This window comes from Homo sapiens, chromosome 6 (genome assembly GCF_000001405.40).
Source record: "Homo sapiens chromosome 6, GRCh38.p14 Primary Assembly".
NCBI lineage: Eukaryota > Metazoa > Chordata > Mammalia > Primates > Hominidae > Homo > Homo sapiens.
In genome coordinates this window covers 86,897,422-86,905,272 of record NC_000006.12, presented here as the reverse complement: position 1 = coordinate 86,905,272, position 7,851 = coordinate 86,897,422, and the positions used below count along the sequence as shown (strand labels likewise).

At 40.0% G+C, this 7,851-nt stretch overlaps 2 annotated features.

Annotated features, from left to right (window-relative positions):
- Window positions 6,648-7,148: an enhancer, noted in NCBI's record as "NANOG-H3K4me1 hESC enhancer chr6:87607843-87608343 (GRCh37/hg19 assembly coordinates)". NCBI's record gives its function as "activates a minimal SCP1, AML or CMV promoter by ChIP-STARR-seq in naive H9 embryonic stem cells {active_cell/tissue: H9 hESC(naive)}" and the evidence as "EXISTENCE:reporter gene assay evidence [ECO:0000049][PMID:30033119]".
- Window positions 7,149-7,649: an enhancer, noted in NCBI's record as "NANOG-H3K4me1 hESC enhancer chr6:87607342-87607842 (GRCh37/hg19 assembly coordinates)". NCBI's record gives its function as "activates a minimal SCP1, AML or CMV promoter by ChIP-STARR-seq in primed H9 embryonic stem cells {active_cell/tissue: H9 hESC(primed)}" and the evidence as "EXISTENCE:reporter gene assay evidence [ECO:0000049][PMID:30033119]".

Here is a 7,851-nt window from a genome sequence, read left to right as displayed (position 1 = left end):
TGGTGGTGCACATCTGTAGTCCCAGCCTCCTATGGGTCTCAGAATCCTGACCTCAAGTGATCTGCCCGCCTCAGCCTCCCAAAGTGCTGGGACTACAGGTGTGAGCCACCATGCCCGGCCAGATGTTTGTTGAGTAACTGGAGAACATAAGGCTAGGAAGGACATTTCTCTGCTTTCTGATCACTGGGAGTCTACATATCTGATCTTCTAATTCTATTATGTTTTCTTTTTTAGTTGTTATTCAACATGAAAATGCTGATGAATCCATACTTGTTACACATAGATCTTAATATGAGGTGTGTCAAAAAAGATGACTACGTTTATGAGAATGAGCAGAAAAAGGAAATAAAATGTATTCAGGAAAAATGCTGATTTATATTTATTCTTTTATTAATTTTTAGTTCTTATGTACTGTATAATTAACTGGTTTGTTTAGAACTATGCACAATCATTAATTGGAATTAACTTAGGGTCCTTTAAATTTACTTATGCAGTTTCTCTTCTATTATTAAAGATTACTTAATTCAATTAGGTTTCAACTGTAAAATCAACTGGTAACTTAGCAACCAAATTTGGGTATTTTCCAGATATAGATAAACAGTGTTACAGGACAAAATCTCTAACTTTCTTGAAATAACAGTAGATTAAGGACAAAAAAACTTTCAATTAATAATCATTTATGAATTTATATGACAGATGCTGTATATGCTCAGTATCTAATTTTCTGCAGTAAATGTTATTTGCCTTATTCATTTGACATCTGTCTAATATATTGACTAGATATGTCAGAGATGGAGGGTCCACTCTACCTGGTCCCCCTCTCTTACTTTTAATAATATTTTAATAACAGACCTCTTGAGTCTTAGTTGGGCACATGGCTGCTCAGTTAGATATAACATTTCACATATTTCACAGACTCTCTTGCAGATAGCTGTGGCAGAGCAACTATATTCTGGACAACAGGATGAGAGCAGCAATGATTTGTGCAACTTCTGGGTCTTACAATATGATCTTTGTCATAATTCAGGTAGTTCTAATTAATTCATTTGAAATTTCTTTAAGATATATTATTCAAATCTATAATAAAGCAGGCTGACTCAATTATTCTCATTTAGTGAGATATTTGGTGTACTTACAATCATTCTAATACACTCAAATATATTTCTATATCATACAATATACATTATGCTATATACATTATATATACAGACTGTCTTCTACATTGTTATTAGAGAATAGTATGTATGTATGTATATATGTACTATTATATAGCTAATAAGAATAAATGAGTGACTACATATACCCATTACAAATAATTTCATTTTTACTAGCTTCATGTGCTAAGGACCATATAAAGAAATCTGTTGGTTTTCTATATGGTCCTAGATATTACTATCTTTTTTTAAAATAAATTTTAATTAAATAAAATAGTGATACATGATATAATGTGTAATACAGATTGTCATAAACAAATTTCTCACATAAGAATACTTCATTGTGATTCCTACGCTATCATAACAATGGTAAAGTTCTGTTTTTTTTTTTTTATTATACTTTAAGTTTTAGGGTACATGTGACATTGTGCAGGTTAGTTACATATGTATACATGTGCCATGCTGGTGCGCTGCACCCACTAACTCGTCATCTAGCATTAGGTATATCTCCCAATGCTATCCCTCCCCCCTCCCCCCACCCCACAACAGTCCCCAGAGTGTGATATTCCCCTTCCTGTGTCCATGTGATCTCATTGTTCAATTCCCACCTATGAGTGAGAATATGCGGTGTTTGGTTTTTTGTTCTTGCGATAGTTTACTGAGAATGATGCTTTCCAATTTCATCCATGTCCCTACAAAGGACATGAACTCATCATTTTTTATGGCTGCATAGTATTCCATGCTGTATATGTGCCACATTTTCTTAACCCAGTCTATCATTGTTGGGCATTTGGGTTGGTTCCAAGTCTTTGCTATTGTGAATAATGCCGCAATAAACATACGAGTTCATGTGTCTTTATAGCAGCATGATTTATAGTCCTTTGGGTATATACCCAGTAATGGGATGGCTGGGTCAAATGGTATTTCTAGTTCTAGATCCCTGAGGAATCACCACACTGACTTCCACAATGGTTGAACTAGTTTACAGTCACACCAACAGTGTAAAAGTGTTTCTATTTCTCCACATCCTCTCCAGCACCTGTTGTTTCCTGACTTTTTAATGATTGCCATTCTAACTGGTGTGAGATGGTATCTCATTGTGGTTTTGATTTGCATTTCTCTGATGGCCAGTGATGATGAGCATTTTTTCATGTGTCTTTTAGCTGCATAAATGTCTTCTTTTGAGAAGTGTCTGTTCATATCCTTCGCCCACTTTTTGATGGGGTTGTTTGTTTTTTTCTTGTAAATCTGTTTGAGTTCATTGTAGATTCTGGATATTAGCCCTTTGTCAGATGAGTAGGTTGCGAAAATTTTCTCCCATTTTGTAGGTTGCCTGTTCACTCTGATGGTGGTTTCTTTTGCTGTGCAGAAGCTCTTTAGTTTAATTAGATCCCATTTGTCAATTTTGTCTTTTGTTGCCATTGCTTTTGGAGTTTTAGACATGAAGTCCTTGCCCATGCCTATGTCCTGAATGGTAATGCCTAGGTTTTCTTCTAGGGTTTTTATGGTTTTAGGTCTAACGTTTAAGTCTTTAATCCATCTTGAATTGATTTTTGTATAAGGTGTAAGGAAGGGATCCAGTTTCAGCTTTCTACATATGGCTAGCCAGTTTTCCCAGCACCATTTATTAAATAGGGAATCCTTTCCCCATTTCTTGTTTTTGTCAGGTTTGTCAAAGATCAGATAATTGTAGATATGCGGCATTATTTCTGAGGGCTCTGTTCTGTTCCATTGATCTATATCTCTGTTTTGGTACCAGTACCATGCTGTTTTGGTTACTGTAGCCTTGTAGTATAGTTTGAAGTCAGGTAGTGTGATGCCTCCAGCTTTGTTCTTTTGGCTTAGGATTGACTTGGCGATGCGGGCTCTTTTTCGGTTCCATATGAACTTTTAAGTAGTTTTTTCCAATTCTGTGAAGAAAGGCCTTGGTAGCTTGATGGGGATGGCATTGAATCTGTAAATTACCTTGGGCAGTATGGCCATTTTCATGATATTGATTCTTCCTACCCATGAGCATGGAATGTTCTTCCATTTGTTTGTATCCTCTTTTATTTCCTTGAGCAGTGGTTTGTAGTTCTCCTTGAAGGGGTCCTTCACATCCCTTGTAAGTTGGATTCCTAGGTATTTTATTCTCTTTGAAGCAATTGTGAATGGGAGTTCACTCATGATTTGGCTCTCTGTTTGTCTGTTGTTGGTGTATAAGAATGCTTGTGATTTTTGTACTTGATTTTGTATCCTGAGACTTTGCTGAAGTTGCTTATCAGCTTAAGGAGATTTTGGGCTGAGACGATGGGGTTTTCTAGATATACAATCATGTCATCTGCAAACAGGGACAATTTGACTTCCTCTTTTCCTAATTGAATACCCTTTATTTCCTTCTCCTGCCTAATTGCCCTGGCCAGAACTTCCAACACTATGTTGAATAGGAGTGGTGAGAGAGGACACCCCTGTCTTGTGCCAGTTTTCAAAGGGAATGCTTCCAGTTTTTGCCCATTCAGTATGATATTGGCTGTGGGGTTGTCATAGATAGCTCTTATTACTTTGAAATAGGTCCCATCAATACCTAATTTATTGAGAGTTTTTAGCATGAAGCATTGTTGAATTTTGTCAAAGGCTTTTTCTGCATCTATTGAGATAATCATGTGTTTTTTGTCTTTGGCTCTGTTTATATGCTGGATTACATTTATTGATTTGCGTTTATTGAACCAGCCTTGCATCCCAGGGATGAAGCCCACTTGATCATGGTGGATAAGCTTTTTGATGTGCTGCTGGATTCGGTTTGCCAGTATTTTATTGAGGATTTTTGCATCAATGTTCATCAAGGATATTGGTCTAAAATTCTCTTTTTTGGTTGTTTCTCTGCCCGGCTTTGTTATCAGAATGATGCTGGCCTCATAAAATGAGTTAGGGAGGATTCCTTCTTTTTCTATTGATTGGAATAGTTTCAGAAGGAATGGTACCAGTTCCTCCTTGTACCTCTGGCAGAATTCGGCTGTGAATCCATCTGGTCCTGGACCCTTTTTGGTTGGTAAACTATTGATTATTGCCACAATTTCAGATCCTGTTATTGGTCTATTCAAAGATTCAACTTCTTCCTGGTTTAGTCTTGGGAGAGACACATACGTGTCGAGGAATTTATCCATTTCTGCTAGATTTTCTAGTTTATTTGCGTAGAGGTGTTTGTAGTATTCTCTGATGGTAGTTTGTATTTCTGTGGGATCGGTGGTGATATCCCCTTTATCATTTTTTACTGTGTCTATTTGATTCTTCTCTCTTTTTTTCTTTATTAGTCTTGCTAGCGGTCTATCAATTTTGTTGATCCTTTCAAAAAACCAGCTCCTGGATTCATTAATTTTTTGAAGGTTTTTTTGTGTCTCTATTTCCTTCAGTTCTGCTCTGATTTTAGTTATTTCTTGCCTTCTGCTAGCTTTTGAATGTGTTTGCTCTTGCTTTTCTAGTTCTCTTAATTGTGATGTTAGGGTGTAAATTTTGGATCTTTCCTGCTTTCTCTTGTGGGCATTTAGTGCTATAAATTTCCCTCTACACACTGCTTTGAATGCATCCCAGAGATTCTGGTATGTTGTGTCTTTGTTCTCGTTGGTTTCAAAGAACATCTTTATTTCTGCCTTCATTTCGTTATGTACTCAGTAGTCATTCAGGAGCAGGTTGTTCAGTTTCCATGTAGTTGAGCGGTTTTGAGTGAGTTTCTTAATCCTGAGTTCTAGTTTGATTGCACTGTGGTCTGAGAGATAGTTTGTTATAATCTCTGTTCTTTTACATTTGCTGAGGAGAGCTTTAATTCCAAGTATGTGGTCAATTTTGGAATAGGTGTGGTGTGGTGCTGAAAAAAATGTATATTCTGTTGATTTGGGGTGGAGAGTTCTGTAGATGTCTATTAGGTCCACTTGGTGCAGAGCTGAGTTCAATTCCTGGGTATCCTTGTTGACTTTCTGTCTCGTTGATCTGTCTAATGTTGACAGTGGGGTGTTAAAGTCTCCCATTATTAATGTGTGGGAGTCTAAGTCTCTTTGTAGGTCACTCAGGACTTGCTTTATGAATCTGGGTGCTCCTGTATTGGGTACATATATATTTAGGATAGTTAGCGCTTGTTGTTGAATTGATCCCTTTACCATTATGTAATGGCCTTCTTTGTCTCTTTTGATCTTTGTTGGTTTAAAGTCTGTTTTATCAGAGACTAGGATTGCGACCCCTGCCTTTTTTTGTTTTCCATTTGCTTGGTAGATCTTCCTCCATCCTTTCATTTTGAGCCTATGTGTGTCTCTGTATGTGAGATGGGTTTCCTGAATACAGCACACTGATGGGTCTTGACTGTTTATCCAATTTGCCAGTCTGTGTCTTTTAATTGGAGCATTTAGTCCATTTACATTTAAAGTTAATACTGTTATGTGTGAATCTGATCCTGTCACGATGATGTTAGCCGGTTATTTTGCTCGTTAGTTGATGCAGTTTCTTCCTAGTCTCGATGGTCTTTACATTTTGGCATGATTTTGCAGCGGCTGGTACTGGTTGTTCCTTTCCATGTTTAGCACTTCCTTCAGGAGCTCTTTTAGGGCAGGCCTGGTGGTGACAAAATCTCTCAGCATTTGCTTGTCTGTAGAGTATTTTATTTCTCCTTCACTTATGAAGCTTAGTTTGGCTGGATATGAAATTCTGGGTTGAAAATTCTTTTCTTTAAGAATGTTGAATATTGGCCCCCACTCTCTTCTGGCTTGTAGGGTTTCTGCCAAGAGATCCGCTGTTAGTCTGATGGGCTTCCCTTTGAGGGTAACCTGACCTTTCTCTCTGGCTGCCCTTAACATTTTTTCCTTCATTTCAACTTTGGTGAATCTGACAGTTATGTGTCTTGGAGTTGCTCTTCTTGAGGAGTATCTTTGTGACGTTCTCTGTATTTCCTGAATCTGAACGTTGGCCTGCCTTGCTAGATTGGGGAAGTTCTCCTGGATAATATCCTGCAGAGTGTTTTCCATCTTGGTTCCATTCTCCCCATCACTTTCAGGTACACCAATCAGACGTAGATTTGGTCTTTTCACATAGTCCCATATTTCTTGGAGGCTTTGCTCATTTCTTTTTATCCTTTTTTCTCTAAACTTCCCTTCTTGCTTCATTTCATTCATTTCATCTTCCGTTGCTGATACAGTTTCCTCCAGTTGATCGCATCAGCTCCTGAGGCTTCTGCATTCTTCATGTAGTTTTCGAGCCTTGGTTTTCAGCTCCATCAGCTCCTTTAAGCACTTCTCTGTATTGGTTATTCTAGTTATACATTCTTCTAAATTTTTTTCAAAGTTTTCAACTTCTTTGCCTTTGGTCTGAATGTCCTCCCATAGCTCAGAGTAATTTGATCGTCTGAAGCCTTCTCCTCTCAGCTCGTCAAAGTCATTCTCCATCCAGCTTTGTTGTGTTGCTGGTGAGGAACTGCGTTCTTTTAGAGGAGGAGAGGCACTCTGCTTTTTAGAGTTTCCAGTTTTTCTGTTCTGTTTTTTCCCCATCTTTGTGGTTTTATCTACTTTTGGTCTTTGATGATGGTGATGTACAGATGGGTTTTTGGTGTGGATGTCCTTTCCGTTAGTTAGTTTTCCTTCTAACAGACAGGACCGTCAGCTGCAGGTCTGTTGGAATACCCTGCCGTGTGAGGGGTCAGTGTGCCCCTGCTGGGGGGTGCCTCCCAGTTAGGCTGCTAGGGGGTCAGGGGTCAGAGACCCACTTGAGGAGGCAGTCTGCCCGTTCTCAGATCTCCAGCTGCGTGCTGGGAGAACCACTGCTCTCTTCAAAGCTGTCAGACAGGGACATTTAAGTCTGCAGAGGTTACTGCTTTCTTTTTGTTTGTCTGCGCCCTGCCTCCAGAGGTGGAGCCTACAGAGGCAGGCAGGCCTCCTTGAGCTGTGGTGGGCTCCACCCAGTTAGAGCTTCCCAGCTGCTTTGTTTACCTAAGCAAGCCTGGGCTATTGTGGGCGCCCCTCCCCCAGCCTCACTGCCACCTTGCAGTTTGATCTCAGACTGCTGTGCTAGCAATCAGCCAGACTCCGTGGGCGTAGGACACTCCGAGCCAGGTGCGGGATATAATCTCGTGATGCGCCGTTTTTTAAGCCGGTCTGAAAAGCGCAGTATTCGGGTGGGAGTGACCCGATTTTCCAGGTGCGTCAGTCACCCCTTTCTTTCACTCGGAAAGGGAACTCCCTGACCCCTTGCACTTCCCAAGTGAGGCAATGCCTTGCCCTGCTTTGGCTCACGCACAGTGCCCACACCCACTGACCTGCGCCCACTGTCTGGCACTCCCTAGTGAGATGAACCCGGTACCTCAGATGGAAATGCAGAAATCACCCTTCTTCTGCGTCGCTCACGCTGGGAGCTGTAGACCAGAGCTGTTCCTATTCGGCCATCTTCAAAACTAGACTTTTTGATATCACTAAAAATTGCTCTGCTCGACCCTCATAGTAGGTTAGCATGGGCTTTGTAAGTACAAAAAGTCTCTCTTTGTAGTTTAAGGGTGATGTCTTCTTTTTCTGCTGTGACCTTTTAATAAGAATCTCTTCCAAAATAATGTTAAAATTCATCTCCATCTTCTGATTACTCCTCCTGCCACTGAAGATCCCAGTATTCTGGCTGAAGCGTGGCTGCTGCGCGGACCTGGGGAGACTGCGAGGTGCAGTCTGCACCGTGGAGTCCGGAGCCTTGCGCC